The sequence below is a fragment of the Homo sapiens genome, chromosome 21 (genome assembly GCF_000001405.40).
Source record: "Homo sapiens chromosome 21, GRCh38.p14 Primary Assembly".
In the NCBI taxonomy this organism is placed as follows: domain Eukaryota; kingdom Metazoa; phylum Chordata; class Mammalia; order Primates; family Hominidae; genus Homo; species Homo sapiens.
This window is the reverse complement of record NC_000021.9, coordinates 9,990,945-10,015,003: the sequence shown is the minus strand read 5'-3', so window position 1 is coordinate 10,015,003 and position 24,059 is coordinate 9,990,945. Positions and strand designations below refer to the sequence as shown.

The following is a 24,059-nucleotide window of genomic DNA, read 5'->3' as shown; positions in this document are numbered from 1 at the left end:
ATGGCTGAGTGAAGCATTGGACTGTAAATCTAAAGACAGGGGTTAAGCCTCTTTTTACCAGCTCTGAGGTGATTTTCATATTGAATTGCAAATTCGAAGAAGCAGCTTCAAACCTGCCGGGGCTTCTCCCGCCTTTTTTCCCGGCGGCGATCTATTTAAATAGTTTCAGCTAAAATCATGACAAATTCGTATGCAGACTGAAATCCTAATCAAAGCATTAGTAAAAAGAAAAAGGTCCTTAAAATTTTCTGAAATTTTTATATGTGAATTATATTTCAAAGAAGCTCAATTTAAAATGCCCTTGTGTTCAAAGTAAAAATACATATTACAAATTGTGTAATATGTATTAATTTTAAATTTTATAAAAAATCAGTGAATTCTTTCAAGTTTTTCAAAGTGTTATGGTTAAGTCTAAATAGGAACTATACTTAAATTAGATTGTTTAGAATGAAAAATTATTTTTAATTTATTCAATGTTTATTTTATGTGTTCAGCATTCTGATGATTCTTTGAGAAGGAAAATAGTATAAATAGTTGAACATATTTAAAAACATCATATTGATCACAATTATACATAATTTTTTAAAGTTCTTTTGATTTTTTGCTATGCTTTGTTAATTAATTGATTAATTGTACCGCAATTATAGCCATAATTGGAATAGGAACTGGACTGTATATAGTTTGACAGGTAGAGAAGTAATATTGTAAGATGAGAAGGAAAGGTAACAAATAGTTAAATGTGAGATAACTTTTTTAATGGAATTTAAAAATTGTAATTAAATTTAGAAGTAAAATAAATGCTGATATAGATAAATTTGATAAGAAACATAGAGCAATTTTCAGCAGTATGGACTTACCTTAAAACCGGAAAATGGATACCATCATTTTAAAATATTAATTAGAACTTTGGGTCTGCTTTCCCCCATGCCCTATTAGTAGTAAATTCCTTATTTGTTCCCTTTTAATATGTACATGCCAGTTTAATAATTTCAAAACTCCTAGAGTTTTTTTCATTTCAAAGTTATTTTGATTGTTCTAAATGATAAGCAGAGAGAATCAGTCTTTCCCGGTTATTGCTTCTTTTTGTCACATGAGGTCTGTATCCAGACCCACATATATTTTCTCGAGGTCCTCTTGGGGCACATTTGACCCTATGTCCTCCGCACATGAACAATAAAATTAGTTATCAACTAACATTCATATGACTTACCATGTTTCTCCAAATCATAGCCAGCCCGTGTGCCTGTACTTGAGTCAAGAGCCTCAGCACATCACCGGCTGAAGTTAATTTTAAGTGCAGGGCTTTTCCAAGCTGTGCAGCCTTGTCTGGTATGAAATTTCCACTTAATAAGGTTTTCTTAACTAGACTCTTTGAATACTTTTCCTCAGAGTTCTTGAACTCATTGTGCAAATTTTTCCACTTTTCATCTTCTATTAGGTCAGCATACAATGCATTTACAAAATCAAAGTTAATTGTCACGTCTTAATTCTAGGATGGAATTCTAGGTGTCTGCCTTCTCTACATTTGCATTAAAAAGAGGACATTTGGGGAAGACATAAATACAAACAAAAAACAAAACACAAAAGTTAAGTTAAAAATGATAACAATTTGTAAAATTAACTTATTTGAAAATAAAACTATAATTATTTAAGGATATTCTAAACCAATTTGGAATGTCAATTTGTTGAAGAAGACCATATTTTTATATATTAAGATTTATAGAAATTAAAATTTTTATCTGAGCAATTCAATATATTTTATGATAATAAATTATATAAATTCCAGCAGAAAATCATATTAGATGATTATGGTTTATTTAAGGATTCTAGTAAAATCTTTAACATAGAAAAATACTCATATTGGTATACGTACAGAACACAGTCATCTACCATTCATAGTTCAAGCTGGAGCTATTAAAATATTAGATTGGATAACTCAATATCAACATTGATATCCATTGTAAATATATACAATAGAAGCCATTAATCTTACCAAAAAGATATAAAATTACTGAAATTTTTTACAAACAAGCTTTCATAATAATATTTATCTTCTGGGCTGTAGCATTAATTCTAAAAAATGACAAAAATTTGTAAGAAAACATATGACATAATTTTGACCTATTGAAATATTATTAAATGTGCTATTAATACAATAGTCATGAAAACCGTTATACAAAAACAAAGTGTTGTTCATGGCATTTACAGAGAACACATTGGTATGACTCCTTCAGGGTATTTATAATAAGTATGAAGCAAGATTTGACTGAGAATACTGAAGAAAACATTTACTTAATTTTTTGAAACAGCTCTGAATAGATGAATAGCACTTATTTAGGTTCTTTATTCTCTTTTGCTTCCTTTCTCCTTTCCTTCTTTTCTGTCATAGATGAGCCAGGCAAGTAACCCAAATGCGTGATATGGACTAGGTGTAATAAAACTAAGCAGTGGAGAAATTGTGGTAAAATGAAGCATCTGAACTTTCTTGTAAAGGTCAGCTTCTTAAGTCTATTCAGTGTAAACTGCCTCCACCTTTTTTGATGTTTATCAAGAGAAACCCAAAATACAAGATTGGAGAATTAAATATTGAAATAGTCAACTATGGGAATGTTCTTAAAAAACAAGGAAGCAAGCAAACAAACAAACAAAAACACATTGTGCTGGCCAACACTGTGAAAGCTAAAGTAACTCTGGAAATGTATTTGGATCAGTTACTGCAAATTTATAATTTTCCTTTAGGAAGTAGACAGTAGGATAAACCATTGAAATGTTTCTTTCTTGTTTTGATGTAGTTCCAATACTTACTAAATATGTGGCTTGGACATGTTAGCTTCTTTATTTTTAAAACAGAACAAAAAATAGACATCATATTGATTTGAATACTAAATAGGATAGAAGTAATAAACCATATATGCCAATGCTTAGTACATTAGTAAACACTTGATAAATAAGTGGTAGCTATTATTATTGCTTGCCAAATAACTTTACAGAGGTGTCAAAAAATTCAAAATCCCACATGTCCTCAGAGTTATTTCTGCTTGCCAGGTGTCCCTGCTTAGAAATTAATAGGACATACACACCAAAATTTGACATTTAGATGTTTCATTCCACTTATTTGTCTTCTAGTTTAAAAATACTTATGAGAATTCTTTATATTTTTTAAAAAATGTTAAATGATGAATAACAAAACAAAATAGAAAGTGTTATATAATGAATTCAAATTCACAAAACCGCTTCTTATCCTAAAATATCTTAAATAGTTCTCATACTGCCCTCCTTAATAAACTCTACTTTCTTGCTCTGCAGGCAATCACCTGCCTATGTTTCATTTATTTTTCCTGTGTTTCATGTTGATGATTCCTATGCATTTTTACTTTCTTCTACTATTCAATTATGAATTCTAAAATAAATGTGACATTTTTGCCTGTTTTTAACTCTAAATAGTTTTATAATTTCATTATACCATGACCTAATATTTGATTCAAACTTGAGTGGTTCGTAATATTAATTTGTATTAATTATCAGTGATGTACTATATCCCACTGTATAACAATAGCTTGAATTTTATTTTGATTCTCTACTGATAGATATATAGGTCAAATCTAGGGTTTAAAGAAAATCCCAACAATGCTGCTATAAGCACTCTTACATGTTTCACTGTGTATGCATGTGTGAGAATTTTTCCACAATATATACTCAGAGGTACCCTTGCTGGATCAAGAGCAACTGTACATTTTCACATTTTAGGTACTTCCAAGTTTTCTCCAAAGTGGTTGTACAGTGTATGTTTACCAGCACTGTAAATGTAAATGAAATATATCTTTATTACCCTTGGTATTATCACACATTTTCTTATTTACCAGTCTAATCACTGGTAAGATGGAATCAGGATTGATAAACCTATTCATGATTCCTCTTTTCTTTCTTCGAATTGCCTTATATTTAGGCTACTCTACTACTGGAATACTTTTCCTTATAATATCTTTCTTTATATTATCAACAGTTTTGAATGTTAATACTTTTTGCATTATAAACATTTTATTTTTTCTCCTATTAGCGCTTTCCTATTTGTAATTGCATATTTTGAAGAATGGTGTTTTACACTTGTCATCAACTTAATATTTTTATTTAAGTTTAGCTCTTCTTTAATCATGTTTATATCATTTGTTAGCCTAAGCTGATAAATATTCTACTGGATTACCTTCTAGAAGTTTTTAAGCATTTATTTTCTATCTAATTTTTTCAGATATCAAATAATCCCTCATATATTATACATTTCCCATGAAGTTTTTATTTACATTGGATGAATTTGTAGTTCTTTAACCATGTGAAACATTTCATTATGAAATATTTCAATAAAAATATGATGTATAAGTTTTATCAATATGTTTTTGTTCATTCTTGCATATATTAGTTTTTTTGGCTATTAAATTTTCTAAGTGGAAACTTTTTGGTAAGATTTTTCTTTCTGGTTTAACTGGCTATCTGATCGAAAAACAACCAAAATATCTCCAGATGGATTAAAGAATTACACACAAAAATACAACTTTAGTGAAGTATATCCATATGTTATCAAATAGCTTAAAACTAACTTTTGAAAAAAAAGTCAATGTGACTACTTAAAAATTTTGTTCAGATAATTGCAGGGATACGAGTTTGAAATAATCTAACTTAAAATCATACATTTATGTACATAAAAATAAATTTGGTATCAATGAAAACACTAAAAACTAGAAAACAATCTAACTTCTGAAATTATTCTAAAATAGTATAAGAATATATTTTATGGCCGGGCGCGGTGGCTCACGCCTGTAATCCCAGCACTTTGGGAGGCCGAGGCGGGTGGATCACGAGGTCAGGAGATCGAGACCATCCTGGCTAACACGGTGAAACCCCGTCTCTACTAAAAATACAAAAAATTAGCCGGGCGCGGTGGCGGGCGCCTGTAGTCCCAGCTACTCGGGAGGCTGAGGCAGGAGAATGGCGTGAACCCGGGAGGCGGAGCTTGCAGTGAGCCGAGATTGCGCCACTGCAGTCCGCAGTCCGGCCTGGGCGACAGAGCGAGACTCCGTCTCAAAAAAAAAAAAAAAAAAAAAAAAAAAAAATATATATTTTATATATGCTTGTAATGTAGGAAGGGCTCTTTAAAAGTGTGACACAATTCATAAAGGAAAAAATGTTTAAAGATAAATACTGATTAATTGATTATTAAGCCAGATTCAGGTAACCCTACTACTAATTTACACAATTACATAGTGAATCTTTGAGGCTTAGGTGCTAATATATATGAAGTAACTAAAATAAAAACTAATAAATTCCTTGTAATTGGTTTGCATTTATTTCAGCAGAAAAGATATATTACTATTTTATTTATAATTATAAAAGCATGTGTTAATTTTCAGTATGCTATTCTGTAAGTGAAAGTATGTTTGAAAATTGTAATGGTGGAGAAAAATTTAGCTGCACTTTACTTAAAACTAAACATACACACATTACAGATAGAGTCCAATGAGTTTTTAAGAAATTTATTGAGCTATAATTAACATATTAAAAGCCAAAAATATGTAAGATAAATTATTAGATATGCTCTGACATATTTATACATCCATGAGATCATCATTATTGTCAAGATAGTGAACATATAAATCCACAAAATGTTTCCTCATGACTACTTTTAATAATCCCCTTTTGCAATTATTGTCTCTCCTAATAAGCATCTTAGCTAGACAACTGCTGACCATCTTTCAGTATTGTATGTTACTGTATATTGTATATTGGTGCATCCAGAAGTTTTATATAAATGGAATCATATAAGGTGCACTATTTTTTGGCTGGCATTTTTGCTTTACAGCAAAATTCTTTTGAAATTCATTCATGTTGTTGCATGTGTCAGTAGTCGAACCTTTTTATTGCTGAGCAGAATTTTTCTGTACGTATATATCACCAATTACTTGTTAATGAATATGTGGGTCATGACCACGTTTTAGCTATTAAAGAGAAAATGCCTATGAACATTTATATACAACAATTTCTTTTTCATTTTTCGAGGGGGAAATATCTAGAAGATAAATGACTAGATTAAGTGGTAAGCATAGGTTTACTTTTTAAAGAAGCTGTCAATCTATTTTACAAACTGGTTGTCAATCAAAAGTATATTAAAGTTTCAGTTCCTCCATTTTCTTGCCTATACCTGGTAGGGTCAATATTTTTTTTCACTTTGGACATTGTAATAACTATCAGTAGTATTTCTTTGTGGTTTTCAATTCTTTAATGATTACAGATGTTAAAATTTTTTGATATACTTATTTGTCATCCATGTCTTCTATCATGACGTCTTTTTCAATCTTTTGCCTTTTAGAAAATTGGGTGATTTGTTTTATTTTTGATTTTTGACAGCTTTTATATATTCTTTATGAAAGTAATTTATTAGTGTGTTGGGGCTCCTTATGACCACCCTTAGGCTCAAAGATTAACTATAATGATTCACAGGTCTTAGAAAACATGTTACATTCATAGTTACAGTTTACTACAATGAAAAGATACAGATTAAAATCAACAAAGAAAAAAAACCTATGGGGAGAAATGTAGAAGATATCAGGTACAAGCTTTCAGGTGTCCTCTCCCAGTGGAATCCCACAAGAACACATGTAATTCTCCCAGCAACAATATTTGACAGCATATTGAAGTGTTGTCAATCAGAGAAGCTCATTTAAGTTTTGGTCTCCAGGGCTTTTACTGGGCATCAGTCATGTAAGGTGGTGCCTATATGAGTGATTTCAGCTACTCAGACTACAGCATCTGTCAGATCAAATATAGCCATTGACTCTAAATTATATTGTTAGGATAAGCTTAACTGTTCAAATGAGCACAGCATGGTCCAAGGCCTCAGACGCTGAAAACCACTTGTGCACTGTACTCTAAAGCCAAAGATGTATAGAAACACTGTCATCAGGCAGAATATATTAAGGGCCCACAGATTATCTTCCAAAAGCCAGCCAAGTGCCAGTTCTAAAGACAAACATTAGTCCTGATGAGATAAACCTTTCTTGGCCAATAAGATATATGCTATTCAAATGTTTTCTCAGTTCATAGCTTTTTAAAAAATTATTTTTAAATGCCCTTTTCCATTCCTATTAAGCATAGTATTGAAAGTTCTAGCCAAGGCAATCAGGCAAGAGAAAGCAATAAAGGGTATTCAAACAGGAAGAGAGGAAGTCAAATTGTCTCTGTTTGCAGATGACAAGATTTTATATTTAGAAAACCCCATCGTCTCAGCCCAAAATCTTAAGCTGATAAGCAACTTCAGCAAAATCTCAGGATTCAAAATCAATATGCAAAAATAACAAGCATTCCTATACAACAATAACAGACAAACAGGGAGCCAAATCATGAGTGAACTCCCATTCACAATTGCTACAAAGAGAATAAAATACCTAGGAAAACAACTTACAAGGGATGTGAAGGATCTCCTCAAGGAGAACTACAAACCACTGTTCAAGGAAATAGGAGAGGACACAAACAAATGGCAAATTATTCCATGCTCATGGATAGGAAGAATCAATATGAAAATGTCCATACTGCTGAAGTAATTTATAAATTCAATGCTATCCCCATCAAGCTACCATTGACTTTCTTCACAGAATTAGAAAAACCTACTTTAAATTTCATACGAAACCAAAAAAGAGGTTGTATAGCCAAGACAATCCTAAGCAAAAAGAACAAAGCTGGAGGTATCATGTGACCTGACTTTAAAATATACTGCAAGGCTACAGTAACCAAAACAGCATGGTACTGGTACCAAAACAGTTATGTAGACCAACAGAACAGAACAGAGGCCTAAGAAATAATGCCACACATCTACAGCCATCTGATCTTTGACAAACCTGACAAAAACAAGCAATGGGGAAAGGATTCCCTATTTAATAAATGGTGCTGGGAAAACTGGGTAGTGGAAAACTGAAACTGGATCCCTTCCTTATATCTTATATAGAAATTAACTCAAGATAGATTAAAGACTTAAACATAAGACCTAAAACTATAAAAACCTTAGCAGAACACCTAGGCAACACCATTCAGGACATAGGCATGGACAAAAACTTCATGAATACAACAACAAATGCATTGGCAACAAAAGCCAAAATTGATGAATGGGATCTAATTAAACTAAAGAGCTTCTGCACAGCAAAATAAACTATCATCAGAGTGAACAGGCAACCTACAGAATGGGAGAAAATTTTGCAATCTATCCATCTGACAAAGGGCTAATATCCAGAATCTACAAAGGACTTAAACAAATTTGCAAGAAAAAATACAAACAACCCCATCGAAAAGTGGTCAAAGGATATGAACAGACACTTCTCAAAAAAAGACATTTATGCGGCCAAAAAACATGTGAAAAAAAAAGCTCATCATCATTCGTCATTAGGGAAATGCAAATCAAAACCACAATGAGATACCATCTCACTCTGGTTAGAATGGTGAACATTAAAAAGTCAGAAAACAACAGATGCTGGAGAGGATGTGGAGAAATAGGAACACTTTTACACTGTTGGTGAAAGTGTAAATTAGTTCAACCATTGTGGAAGACAGTGTGGTGATTCTTCAAGGATCTAGAACTAGAAATACCGTTTGACCCAGCAATCCCATTACTAAATAGAAAAAGGATTATGAATCATTCTAGTATAAAAACACATGCACACATAGGTTTATTGCAGCACTGTTCACAATAGCAAAGACTTGGAACCAACACAAATGCCCATCAATCATAGACTGGATAAAGAAAATGTGGCACATATACACTATGGAACACTATGCAGCCATAAAAAAGGATGAGTTCATGTCCTTTGCAGGGACATGGATAAAGCTGGAAATGATCATTCTCAGCAAACTAACACAGGAACAGAAAACCAAACACCGCATGTTCTCACTCATAATTGGGAGCTGAACAATGAGAACACATGGACACAGGGAAGGGAACATCACACACTGGGGCCTGCCAGGGGGTGGGGGGCTTGGGGAGGGATAGCATTGGGAGAAATACCTAAAATAGATGATGGGTTGAAGGGTGCAGCAAACCACCATGGCATGTGTATACCTATGTAACAAACCTACACGTTCTGCACATGTTTCCCAGAACTTAAAGTATAATAATTTTTAAAAAAGAATAAAAATTTTCACTTTTGAAGAAGTTCAAGTTAATATTTTATTTTACAAATTAAATGTTTAATGTCATATACAGCACTTATTTGTTTCAACTAAGGTCACAAAGATTTATCTTATGTTTATATCTAGGATTTCAATACATGCAGGTTGGCTTATTACTAATGTTTATATATTTTGCAAGCTATGAATCAAATTTGTTTTCTATTGCTTATAAATACCCAACTGTTTTACATTTCTTGCTTTGAAAAGTCTTCCATTTCTTCAAAGCTGATACTTTCCCTGATGAATTGACTTGCTATTTAAAAAAAAAGATATTAACTATATGTGTAAATCTGTTTTTGTATTTTCTATTTTGTTCTGTTGATCTATTTAGTCTTTCTTGAGGACAATATCACACAGTCTTGACTATTTCAAAATCATGAACATGGTATATCTCCCCAAATTTTATCTTTTATTTGAGATATCTGGAAAGCATATAGATCTAGAAGTTGACATTTGTTCTACCTATATTAGTTAGTCTTCAAGTAGAAATGATGATGGAAAAGATTGCAGTGATCAAAATTACCTAGGGAGGATGTATAGCATGAAAGAGTAACAAGCAGTTCATGCAGATCTCTGATTTAGCTTACACACCTAGAGGAAGATTAAATGAAGATCAATTTGCAAGTGAATTTAAAATTTTGTGACAAAATTTTAGGAGCAAAATTAGGACACCGTGTTGTTACAGAATCTAAAGAACTATTTTGAGCTGCTTTTGAAAAATAAACATAAAAGTTACCAATCTGTATGACTGACTTTTGCAACACTTTCTCATTGAAAACACATATTCTACAAAAAAACATTATTTTTGTAACCTTATCATTTGGGACTCACTTTATCTAGCAGATCTAAGTAGTTATACGTTTTTACGTATGTTCCCACCTATAAATTATCTGTTATATTTTCAATGACATTTTCTTCTTCTAATAAAAGCATGCTCAATTTTAACTATTTGTGTTAACTTATTTTGGAGATTCAAGGTACATTTGGTTGTTGTTTTTATTATTTTATTTTATTTTACTTTAATTTCTGGGATACATATGCAGAATTTGCAGGTTTGTTACATAGGTATACATGTGCCATGGTGGTTTGCTGCCCCTATCAAACCGTCATCTAGGTTTTAATCTGCATGCATTAGGTATCAGTCCTAATGCTCTCCTTTCCCTTTCCCCCCACGCCCCAACAGGCCCCACTGTGTGTTGTTCCCCTCCCTGTGTCAATGTGTTCTCGTTGATCAACTCTCACTTATGAGTGAGAACATGCAGTGTTTGGTTTTCTGTTCCTGTGTTAGTTTGATGAGGATGGTGGTTTCCATGTTCCTACAAAGGATATGATCTAGTTCTTTAGATGGCTGCATAGTATTCCATGGTGTATATGTACCACATTTTCTTTATCTAGTCTATCACTGATGGGCATTTCAGTTGGTTCCATGTCTTTGCTATAATAAATAGTGCTGCAATAAACATATGTGTGCATGTGTCTTCATAATAGAATGATTTATATTCCTTTGGGTATATACCAAGTAATGTGACTACTGGGTCATGGGATTTCTGATTCTAGATCCATGAGGAGTCTCCACACTGTCTTCCACAATGGTCGAACTAATTTTCATTCCCACCAACAGTGATTCAAGGTATTTTGATGGGTTGTTTGTTTGTCTATTTTGCATTTCATTTGTTTCTGTAAAAGGAGAAAATTTTGGGCTTAGGGAATACCATAATGCTTTAAACTTTGAGCTATTTCTTCTTTTTTTTTTTTTTCTCAAATAATGTCATTTTGTCATAGATCTCTGAAAATGACCTTGAAAACTTCCCATGAAAATCAACAGAACTTACAATGTTCAGAGCCTAAGAAATAAATGTCACCTTACAAGATTCATCAAAATGAGCTTAGATGAAATTTTAATTGCCATACTCAAGCCACTTAAATAGTTAACCAAGACATTCTCCCTTGTTTCTACAGTGATACATAGTATTGAAAATTGCTTTGACTGCACACTCAAATTATTACAATTCAACTTTCTTCAACATCATAAATTGAAAGGATATCATGTGGATCTTTGTTGTTCCCAATTAGGATTGAAAATAACTTCTGGCCAAATTAGTAGTGTAGAGACTTATGGAATGAAGTCAATTTAAAACAGAATTTTTTTGAGTTAATGGTAAGAAAGAGTTTGTTGCAATAAAATTCTTTGAAATTTTAGATATGAAATTGGTACAAAAACTTAATACAAATTCATCTACCTGATTTTTTTGTGGCAATGTCATAAATAAAAGAAATATGGTCTCATCTTTCCTAAATATTTTGCTCATGCTCTTTGACAATACCGTAAAATGTACTTAAACTACATAAGAATCTTCTAGTAAAATAAAATGCAACATTTCACTCAGAAGTAAAACATTTTTAAAATAGTGTCCAACAATTGCTTCAAGAGGGTGACAACTTATGAACACCCTGTTCTAAGTGTTTCCACCCTAATTGGTTTCTTTTTTTTTTTCTTTTGAGACAAAACCTTGCTCTGTTACCCAAGCTGGAGTGCAGTGGTGTGATCTCGGCTCACTGCAACCTCCGCCTCCTGGGTCCAACGGATTCTCCTGCCTCAGCCAACCAAGTAGCTGGGATTAGAAGCAACTGCCACAATGCCCAGTTAATTTTTGTGTTTTTTGTTTGTTTGTTTGTTTTTTGTTTGTTTGTTTGTTTGTTTTAGTAGAAGTGGGTTTCACCATGTTGGCCAGGCTGGTCTCGAATTCCTGACTTCAAGTGATTGGACTCCCAAAGTGCTGGAATTAGAGGCATAAGCCACCATGCCTGGCCTCCCCTAATTCGCTTCTTTGAACCTCTCTACATCATCACAAGATGGGTGTTACTATGATCACTATTTTATAGGTGAGCATATGAGGAACAGAGAGGTTAAGGAGGAACAGGGTGATCTGCTACAACTCTTCAGCAGGGCATTCTGGGCAGGACTGTCTAACTTGTGAGAGGCAAGGGGACTATTTATAGCCTATGTATTCCCGTTAAAGTAACAAACATATATCAAGAATAAATATTACAGTATATTTCTAGCAACCATCTAGAAATAGGAAATAGTATCAGTACCATATTGTCAGATGACAGTAGGATTAAATAAAACCGGAGTGACTAAGTAACTGACGCTTTATTCACTGCATTTAAAAGAAAAGTATGTCTTGGAGTTGAATTAAGTAACCTGGGATAGATCTCTAAAAATCTGTAAGTGAAGCAGGGGTCACATATTAACATGTTATACTGGAAAAAGTGTCTAAGAAAGGAATTTGGCACTGGAATCTACATAGGGAACAATTAAATTATCTATAAATATTTTTTACTTTATTCTGAAAAAGGTATATACCAAAAACTCCAGAAACAATTCTAGGCCCTCCATAATACATGTGGGCTCTAAGATAAGAGTGGAAATAGAGGCCCACATAACATGTGTATAAATATCTTAACATTATAAAGCAAACTACTCCAATAATCTGGCCTGCATTTCTGCCTAGGTTCTCAATGGCCCACTTCCTGACCACCACCCTCTGGAGTCCAAAGGAGATTTGCTTATTCCCAGTATTATTCCTGCAGGTCAGCCAAAGAGGAGCAAAGAGTCATCTACCTCAATCATGTTCAGGAAATGATCAGGTCAAGATGTGGAGTGAGCAAGCTTTTCTCTTTTGTGCCACATTTTCTGACCCAGTATTTCAAGGTACTTCTAATACACAAAGACTATTACAAGAGGGAGGAAGGAAGGAAGGTCAGTTATCTGAAGAACTGAGGCTAGCTAGAAGCCCAAATTTGGTGTGATGGGGGCCATCAAATCTCAACAGAAACAGCTTTCTCTCTCTGTTATCCTGGACAGGGCTTGTGATTTTTTTTTTTTTTTCCTCCACTCAGCCATAGACTCTCAGCTACATATCCTCTAGCCTGGAGTAGTCAAATCAGCTCATCTCTTTCTCTCTCATACCAAACTTTCAAAAACAAAACAAAACAAACCAAAAAACACTTTTGTTATTGGAATAAATGAGAAAAATGTATTTGTGTTTAAATATCTGTGATACATGGACCATCAAAAGCCTCACTGCTAATGAAGGCAATTATTTAGGTTTACTTAATCTATTAACTTATCAGTTAATAACTGCTATTTATTCTGCTAGAAATTCCCAATGGTATAATTGTTTCTGGCTGTAGCTCCTTCCATGCTTTGTACATCTTACTTGTGGTAGGCAGAATCACAGCTCTCCACAAATGATGTGATTTGGCTGTATCCCCACCCAAATCTCACCTTGAATTGTAATAATTCCATGTGAAGAATGGGGTCAGGTAGAGAGAATTTAATCATGGGGACGGTTTATCCCATGCTGTTCTTGTGGTAGTAAATAAGTTTCACGAGATCTGCTGGTTTTATAAACGGGAGTTCCCCTGCACAAGCTCTCTTGCCTGCCACCACGTGGGATGCGACATTGCTTCTCATTCGCTTTCCACCATGATTTTGAGGGCTCCCCAGCCATGTGGAACTACAAGTCAGTTAAACGTCTTCCTTTTATAAATTACCCAGTCTCAGCTATGTCTTTATTAGCAGTGTGAGGACAAACTAATACAACGGGTGTCCACATTCTAGTCCCCAGAATTTGTGAATATGTTAGTTGCATGGCAAAGGAAAATTGAAATTGTAGACTAAACTAAGGTTGTTCATCAGTTGATATTAAGATAGGAAAGTTATTCTGGATTATCCTGATGGGACCAAAATAATCAGAAGGACATTTACAAGTGGAAGGAGGCAGAAGAAGTTAGAGTGATGAGATGGGAACTCACAAACTGCCATTGCTGGCCCTTTAAAACAATTTAAATCTTGTTTTATGACACATAATTATTGTACATATTTATGGGATACAGTGTGATGTTTCAACACGTGTATGTATAGTTTAAATATTGAATCAGGATATTCAACATATTCTTCACTTCATACATCTTTGATATCTTTATGGTGAGAGAATTCAAAAATCCTCTCTTCTAGCTATTTTGAAATATACAATACAATATTGCTAACCATAGTCACCCTGACTCCATTCCTCATTTCAAAAATGGAGGAAGGGACAGTGATTAAAGGAATGCAAGCAGCCTCTGGGCTGTGGAAAACCAAAGGAAACGAACTCTTCCCACAGACCACCCCCAAGAAAAAACCAACCCTGGCAGTATCTTCGTTTTAACATGGTGTGATCAAGTCAGATTTCTGTCTTACAGAACTGTAACATAATAAATCTGTATTGTTTAAGCTACTAAGTTTGAAGTAATTTTACTAAAACTTGAAAGGAATTTACATTTTGCTTTTAAAGTTCTTTATTTTTGAAACTTTAGACAGAGATCAACAAATCCTCAACAAGAGATAGCTCAATTTTTACCTTTGAAAAAGGAATTATGTTACATATCTATAAGAATGAATAACTACAGCACAGAAAAATACTCATAAGTAATATATTATTTGAAATCAGGAGTCTAATAAGAGAAAATGCAAATGGACCCTTTTCTATGAGATTTAGATAAATTACATGAAAAATATGTGTGATAAGAGTTATGTGTTCTGAGTTAATACATATACTTAAAAAATCTGAAAAAATTGCAACAGGAACAATAAATATGCAAATTGAAATCACAAAAAAATCAATGAATTTGAAGACCATTTGGAGAAATGCTTATATTATCTTAAGATTAATTTATTCTAATCATGCACCAGTGATAGTATTATAAGAAGAAATAAATTCATTATCATTTTTTACTGTATTTATTTTTTAAGACAGAGATTGGTACTAATTCAGTAATGGAAAACTAATTGTAAAATTTGTACTGTGGTAAATTTGGAAAACAAGGCATGGCACAGAAAGAGCATATAATAAAATAATTTGGCATAAAGGCCATTTGAAATGGATTAATTATAGTGATGAAACATGTCATCATTTCCTGGACAAGTAGGGAAGATAGGCAATGAGAAGGCTATGGAGGAGAGAGAAGAGAGTAGAGTCCATAGAGTGACAGTCTTCAACAGGTTAAAAACCTGTACGAGTTCAGGTCTCGAACAAGTGATATTGGATGAAATGGGAGGTAGAGAGGACCAAAGAGTAGGATATTTTTTTTTAAATATTGAGAAACATTTGCTGTCTAAAATAGAGAAGAAATGTTATTAACATGCATGGTGGTCAAGAAACTGACAGGTAAGATTTGAAAGAGTTACCAGTTTGAGGTAAGCACAATAGAGAATAATGACAGAGTTTATAATGGAGAGAATGTCTTTGAAAGCCAAAAGCAAAAGTTGTCTTAATAGAGAAAGAAACCAAAGGTTTGAAAAAGCATTTGAATGGAAAGTTTGGTGTAGACATACGTTATGAACCATAAACTGTCAAAGTTTATTGGTGATGCTTGCTGGTTTATTTACTTGTTGGTTTTCAGAAGGAAAGAACTATAATAGACTGATAACTACAAATTAACTGAAATTGTATATACCCCGCCTCCTCATGATTAGGCAGGTGAAGATGGGGTGAGCAAAATAGTAGCAACCCATTGAAAGGGCTGTTGAAGGGGTTATATTTTCCAGACATATCAGGAGTTCAAGTTGTTACTAAAAATGCAAAAAGAGTTTGCTAATCAGAACATAAGCATTCAATATCTATCACTATCAAGATGTGAGATAAGGGATAGGTAATTGATTCTGTTGGAAAAGCAGAGTCATATAATGATGAAAGTCTGATAATACCTCTGTGACTTGAAAGGGACAGAAGTAAACAGGAACATGAAGCAAAGAGTTTTAGTTCTGATAGTCTCTTTGAGGAGGAGGAATAATGGCACTATTGTCATTTTTTGAATATTTCCCCTAGTATTTTTAGTGATTTCACAAATCGTTCTAATGCCTTAAAGGACTACCACTCTGGAATATCACTCAAAGCAATGTTCTTGTGAGGATTAGGCTTAATGAAAAGTCCTGTAATGCTTGGACACATGGAAAGCTGACCAGTATTAGATAAAACAAAATTGTTATAGTTGGGAATTGTTACTATCGGTATTTTCATCATCATTTTGCAACATTTATATTTTTTTCTTAATGAAATATGTTGATTTTTCAGTTTTTAAAGTAAAATTGTATTACGTTTAAAAAATTAATAGAGAACTATTCTGTTGAAGACAATGAATGCATATTATGCTTAACATGTTAATATGTGTTTCACATTATTTATAGATTTTGTCTACTGCATTGAAATTTTCTAGAATGCTGCATATGTAGAGCTTAATGTAATCACTTCCTAACTATAATCTCTGGAGCCAACCCAGTTACAATAAAATTAACTCTAATTTTGTGTCTTTTATTTGTTTCTACTTCTAGGTTAAATGTGGTTTGAGAAAAGTGTTTTAGAAAACTTTGAAAAATCACTGGCTTGTTAGAATGCATGTTCTATTAAAAGATATGAGTCCTATCTCCAGGTTACTTAAAATATTAGTTTTACTCCAAATTGTATTCTAGTTTCCCTATCTTTAAAATATGTTCATGAAACATTTCTCTTCTCTTATGAAGTTAAATGTTCTTTTAAGTTTGAAATTTATTAGAGAACTCTGATATATGATTTTTAAAAAATAACACTCTGAATTACTTTCTAAAATGGAAAGCAACCCTACAACAAAAAGATATTACCAATATTGAGTTTTACCTCTGGCTTCAACTTATTTTTCTCTCAAGATCTTATTATTCTCTTCTCCAGCTACCCAAGGTGCGAAAAAGAAAGAAGGCCGAAGGGAAGAAGGTGGTGCTCACCCTTGCTGTCTTGAAAAAGCAGGAGACCATGAAAGTGGTGAATCTTCCATTTGAGAAATTTGGCACTGGACAGGACATTTTGGCATTGGACAGAACATCCAGCCCAAAAGGGACCTCACTTACTTTGTCAAATGGCCCCATTATACTAGGTTGCAGCAGCAGAGAGCCATCCTCTATAAACAGCTAGAAGTGCCTTCTGTGATTAATCAGTTCACCAGGGCCTTGGACCACCAAACAGCTGCTCAATGGGGTAAGCGGGCTGGCAAGTACAGACCAGAGACAAAGCAAGAGAAACAGCAGAGACTGTTGGCCTGGGCTGAGAAGAAAGCAAAGGAGACATCCCCACTAAGAGATCACCTGTCCTTTTAATGGGGGTTAACGCTGTCACCACCTTAGTGGAGAAAAAGAAGGCTCAGCTGGTGGTGACTGCACAGGACAGAGATCCCATTGAGTTGGTTGTCTTCCTGCCTGCCCTGTGTTGTAAACTGGGGGTTCCTTACTGCATTATCTTTTTTTTTTTTTTTTTTTTTTTTTGAGACGGAGTTTCGCTCTGTCGCCCAGGCTGGAGTGCAGTGGCGCGATCTCGACTCACTGCAAGCTCCGCCTCCCGGGTTCACGCCATTCTCCTGCCTCAGCCTCCCGTGTAGCTGGGACTACAGGCGTGCGCCACCATGCCCGGCTAATTTTTGTATTTTTAGTAGAGACGGGGTTTCACCGTGTTAGCCAGGATGGTCTCGATCTCCTGACCTCGTGATCTGCCCATCTCGGCCTCCCAAAGTGCTGGGATTACAGGCGTGAGCCACCGCGCCCGGCCCTTACTGCATTATCTAATGGAAGGCAAGCTTGAGACATCTAGGATTAAATAACAAACAAACAAACAACAACTCTTAAAAATATTCTTTTAAAACTTCTAATTATTAGTTTTTTTTATCTCTTCAGTACATTAAAATGTCTGGTGGTAGGAAAATACTGGACTCATATATGACTGTCTACGTGATTTGCAGGGCCCAGTGCAAAATGACGTGGATGTTGTACCTCGTTCAAAGTGTTAAGCGTTTCAAGATGGCAACAGCAGAGCATTAGGCCAAGTATGAGGTCATTATGTACATGGGTCCTTGTGTGACCACACAGGTCACAGGAACATGAAGCTAGACCTGAGTGTATATTCAGATAGGTAAATCTTACAGATTTTTAAAACTCAATAAAAGAAAAACTACATTTCATGTGTGAACACAAAAATTGGAATTAAATTGGCAATAGCATTGGGATTTGTGCTCAGAGTCACAGTTTACATCTGACCACAATTTCTATATGAATTTTTTAAGATAAAACAGTAAGAATTTTAGAGAAGGTTTCTGAAATTTAAAAATTATAATAACATAATTAACTTTGATATTTTAATTCCATGTAATTTAAAACATTTAATAGATATATAATGTTCCACTATTAATTTAACTAGAAGTATAAAAATAAAACATATATAATAAAAATATTCTACTGATTTTTAAATTATCTATATTATACTGAGTAAAAGAAAATTTAGGAATATAAATAAATGAGCATTTTTGAACATGTAAAAATATTTTCTTGCTGTTTTTAGGAGACTTTTAGCAGGACAGGAGCTTACCTCTCATCTACCTCTGCTTGGACAAACCAGTGATGTGATTTGCAAATAGGCTGTAACTTCACCGAAAACACATCACAGTAAAGAAAAGCAGTGACTTTCAGAGAATTTGACCTAACTTAGAATTTGTAAAAGAGAAAAGCATTGTCCTTATGCCTAAAGTACATGACTGTTTCTTTTTAAGTTACATGTATATTTACCTGACCAATTTGTTTTACTCTGTATTTTAAGTTATCAGGTGAAATGGTTTTGGAATAAATTAATGAGTTGTTTGTTCTGAATAAATGTGCATGTTACAAGTGCAAACACGTGTATGTATTATACAACTATGCAGCTTCAAGAGCTGACTTATTTCTATCAGCTTTTTATTCACTTAAAAAATCAGGCTACTGAAGCATATTAGAATTTAATTACACCAATTAGTACTGCCACATCAGACATATGATGTGCCTTCAATTAAGAAGTACCTAATGGGTATTAGTACAATTTAGCTTCATAATTAAAGTTCTAAGAACAGCACAAATTAAACATTATGATTACAAAACATTAAAAATCTACTGGTGAAATTAAAGCTGAATATTTAACTTCTCCTTTTGAGCTGATTTTAAAAAAGAAAATCAGGATTATATAAAATGCAATGTTATTATTGAAGCATTCTGAATTTAAAAACAGAAATTAAGCTCACATGCCCATAAATATGTGCATATATAATGATTAAATATTTAGTAAAATACCCAACCTAACACTTGTGTCATCTAATAAGCATTAAAGGTTATCATTTTGGAGTTTCACTTGATTGGGCTTTGTTTTGTTTTGTTTTTTTTCATAGAAATATTTGATATATGTGGTCACCACTCACAACTCTTGCTTCAGTGACCATGGATGACAGGCAGCCCCAGCTACTGTTTTTCTGGTTGTATGACTATCTTTGCACTCAGGCCATATTTTCTCTGGTTGTTCCTGGCCAATGACTGAGCATGCTCGGAGTATTGATGAAGGCCATTTTTAAGATTTGTGATAACCTTCCAACAGAAGACTTTGGACTGGAGACTTCTATTGTCTGGGCCAAAATTTCCTAAACTGTGTTTCAGGCTGTGACTCTTTCATTCTCATCCTTCTTCCTTCTCCCCCTCCTTTGACAGAAGCCAGGCTTGCATCACTGAAGACTCCCTGCACTTAGATCTGCTTTTTCTTCTTAATCTTTAACTAACGTTCCTCTCATAACCTTTTGAGTGACTTATAATTGCATAGTATCAGCTTCTTGGAAAACCTGACTTGATAAACTATCCTATTTGAAATACAGATATATACGCATTTAACAATTTTTGACATTATTAGCACACTGAGTATTAAATAGTATCTGAAAAGAGATACCTTTAAAAATGAAAACACCTTCCTATTGGGGTTTTCTTCAAAACAAATAGATTATTTTTAAAAAGATTACAACTATAGCAACTTCAGTCTCTCCTGTTTTATCTACTAGAGTGGTTTGCTTCCTCTGCCTTTCTTAAAGTGATTGGTTAAAATGTTTTAGCACTTAGCACTTTCTTCCTAGTTTTGCAGATATGGCCCTGAAATGGCTTATGAGTAAGGCAAATAGAGGATGTTCTTACTGGGCTAGTGCTTTTATTTCTCTCTTTCGCTTGTTCTATTTTTTAAGTGAAAATGGCATTAGCATCTTATTTGTCAGGCTTTCATTTTCGTGTTTGAGAATTCCACTTGTAGATAACCAATAGCTATAACCTGTTCAGGTTTTTAAAAAATATAGCTTATTGAATGAGCAGTCACACACAAGAAATTCCGTTCTTCCCGTAGTCCATCATGCTTTACCCGTATTCAGCTTCTCACTTCTGTATCTAAAAACACTAGATTTTATCATTCTACTTTAAAGTTTCTTTTTTTTTTTTTTTTTTTTTTTTACTTTTCCTAAAATACTCAAATTTCCATAAAGGAACAAGGAATAAAGCTTAAGCATAACTTCAAAAGAGACATAAGCGGGGTGAACAAGATCCAAACACAGGCTCTCTTGATGTAAAGATAGACCTTTAACCATGTGCAATCTGTCTATTAAGAAAATAGAGGACTCTAAACACAAAATTAAGAGTATAGTTGTCTCTGTGTGACTGAAAAAGAGTGAAAGATAACTGCAAAATTATTGATACTGTTCTTATGCTTAAATTGGGTTGTGTGCTTACATGTGTTCATTATGTTAATATGTCTCATAGGTTAGGTATCTTAATCAAATATGCAGTTATATAAATACAATACACTGAGATAAGATAACTAGCAACACATTGAAACAAAAAAAAAACAAGAATAGGATTGAATACTGTCACGATCTTTACAAGGCCTGGCCTTTCACTATGTAAATAGATATCTTTTAGTCCAAGAAATCACAGAACTTACACATTTTTGGGAAAAGAAGAAAAAATTCATAGAATAAATTAATTTTATGTCCTGTAAGCAAAAGTCTACTAAGGTGAATTCATAATATCCCATAACAGCAAAAAAGAATGCATTCAGAAGTCCTAAATCTATAAACAATAAAAATAGTTAAGCACATAGAATTTACTTAAGTTCAAAAGCATCATGTTCATTAGAATTATATAATTCTTGTAGCGTTTAGTACATCCTGGATAATTCTTATTCCCATTATTTATTGCTAAGCACATTGAAATTTCAGATTAATAATATTATTATTTTTTAACTTTCATTTGTATTGTAACTGTTGGTTTTAACTGATGAAGATGCAAAACAAAAATAAACATTCAGGTAAATAACTATTTTCTAGAAAGATCCAACCTGTAAGCTAGCAATATGGTTTGATTCTTTCTTTTAAAGTTATGTTATTATAAGTATATAAGCAATTCAGATAATAGATCCTGGGTTATGATGCATATCCTATTTGCATAAGCTTAATATATTTTAAAGATAACCAAGAAAGATAATGTATAATTAAAACTATAAATAAACACATTACTCAACATAATTACTCCTTAAATATTCAGTCCATTTAATATAGGTCTTTGCTGCCGTAAATGAACTCCCATGAGCTTCTAGAGAGACTCGTTTTATTAAATGTTATAGTCTCTGGCTCTGACCAATCATAGCGCTATAGACACTGTTATAAACAATGTAAAAAGCTGCTAAAAAAGCAAGAGGTATTTTTTATTTTTTTGTAATTTGATTTTATTATCATGTTTTCATACCCACACAAAATAATCAATACATTAACATACAACCATCACACATATTCAACAATTATCATAATTTTGTTGTTTCTGCTTAAGGTATCCCTGTTCTCTTCTTGCCAAATTATTTTAAAAATATATCTCAGAATGTAATTTTATACCTACATACTTAAGGATACATCTCTAGAAAATGCAGATATTTAGTAATACATTTTTGCACAGTTTATTTTACTTCAGTATCTCAATTCAAATATTGTTTGTTATTAAAAAACTGCCTCTAACATATGTTTTACTATATATTTAAGAATATAATTTGGAAAAAAGAGTCTGACACATAGTCCATGTTCAATTTACCTCTTCAACTGATCTACTAAAAGGAAAAAAATGACACCAATACTTCTTACTCTTCCCTGAAGTTATGTTATGATATTTTTAGATTTTGAAATCCTGTAAAGTGTGCCCATTATTGGTTTCAAGTACATGTTTCCTAACTCATTTCAATCTCTTCTATAATCAAGTGCAAGAGAAAATATAAAATAGGCCCTATGATTGTAGAAATAAAAGTGGAAAAAACTAGCCTAGAGTTCATAAAAGTAGACATATAAAAATCTTGAAATGATAAAGGCCATAATCAATTAATTGAAATTAAAATTATTCCTTTGAGTTATTTTTGGGTATTCTTCCAATTTTAGTTTTTTTGTTTGTTTGTTTGATGTTGCAAATATCACAGTGTATGTCTTCTTTTTTTTTTTTTTTGAGACAGATTCTCACTCTGTCGCCCAGGCTAGAGTGCAGTGGCACGATCTCGGCTCACTGCAAGCTCCGCCTCCTGGGTTCACACCATTCTCCTGCTTCAGTCTCCCGAGTAGCTGGGACTACAGGCGCCCGCCACCATGCCTGGCTTATTTTTTGTATTTTTAGTGGAGATGGCGTTTCACCGTGTTAGCCAGGATGGTCTCGATCTCCTGACCTCATGATCTGCCCGCCTCAGCCTCCCAAAGTGCTGGGATTACAGGTGTGAGCCACTGCGCCTGGCCAGTGTATGCCTTCTAAAAGCAGAGTCTGTAGTAAATATATATATAAATGGTAACACAAGCATATAAAATAAAATGTGGCAATTACTATTCAATGAAAAATACAGGGACATTTGGGAGAGCATAACAAGTAAAGTAAGGGAGTAAATACGTGCTGAGATAAATGAATTTTTGTTACATGAGTCAGGAGTTAAAGAAATAAATGAAAGATGAGAGATTAGGATATAAAGTATATAGGGTGCCAGTTCATATAACACTTTATATTAAAGGAATTTGAGCTTTTGGTTGAAATAATGGAAGCTATTGGGAGTTTTAAGGGGATTGATATGAAGGAGGTAAAATAGGAGTCTATAGCACTAATCTAAAGTGGTAAGTGAATGGAAGTCAAAGCTATTTAGTGGAGTAGGTTGAACCAAAATTGATGACTAAGTAGGTGGTATCTAAAGGAAAGGAAAAGTTTGAGTCTTGGGTATCTGGCATGCATAGTATACTAACAGTGATATACACAGTTACTTTCAGGCTCACTGAATGAGTAGTGGTCAATGAAATACAGAACAAAGTCATGCAATTCACTTTCAAGTTGTGTTCTTGAAACTTCCCATGGCACCCATGAAGATTTCAAGAGTCATTTGTTATTATATCCCATCTTGACTAATACCAAGTTGTTAGAAAAAAATGAAATACTATTGTAACAATAAGCTAAAATAAGTGGTATTGTCTTAACAATGAGAAAGAGCATGAGGAAACTTAAGATCATAGATGATGAAAACTGTTTCCCCTATCCCCACTCCCAAGAAGGGAGAGGTTGGGGTTATACAAAGTGATTAATCTATGTGTTCTTCCCAGAAAAAAAAAGGCAGAGTTTAATCAAATAACTTTTCCAACCTTTAGTATATGGTTCATTCAAACTGTCTGACCTGTAGTGTTTCAGAATTACCAATGGTCAGTGGTTTCTATGTACTATACCTTATATTTTGCCTTTCTAAATGGGCTATGAGCATTACATATCTTAGCTCATTTATCTTTTAAATAACTTTAAGAAGCTAGTATTATTATTAGCTTGATTTTGCTGGTGAGAACATTGAGATGTAGAGATTCAGAGTAGCTAGTGTTTGGTATAACTATGATTTAAATTTAGTTCTGTCTTATTATAATATTAAACAAGTATGTGACTTCGTAGTGTAATGAGTCACTTTCAAAAC

The 24,059-nt window shown here is 33.4% G+C and overlaps 1 long non-coding RNA gene across 10 annotated transcripts in view; it reads left to right on the top strand.

Annotated features, from left to right (window-relative positions):
- The window catches only part of LOC105372733 (uncharacterized), a 123,425-nt gene extending 104,487 nt beyond the window's left edge, over positions 1-18,938 (top strand). For 8 of the 10 annotated variants that reach the window (XR_951174.4, XR_951171.3, XR_951170.3 and 5 more), the window contains 3 exons: positions 12,799-12,919; positions 16,956-17,258; positions 18,013-18,938. This is a non-coding gene — a long non-coding RNA (uncharacterized LOC105372733). The remainder of the gene's footprint in view (positions 1-12,798; positions 12,920-16,955; positions 17,259-18,012) is intronic. The other 2 variants (XR_951173.4, XR_001754953.2) reach the window with 1 other exon arrangement.
- Positions 18,939-24,059: the final 5,121 nt, after the last annotated feature.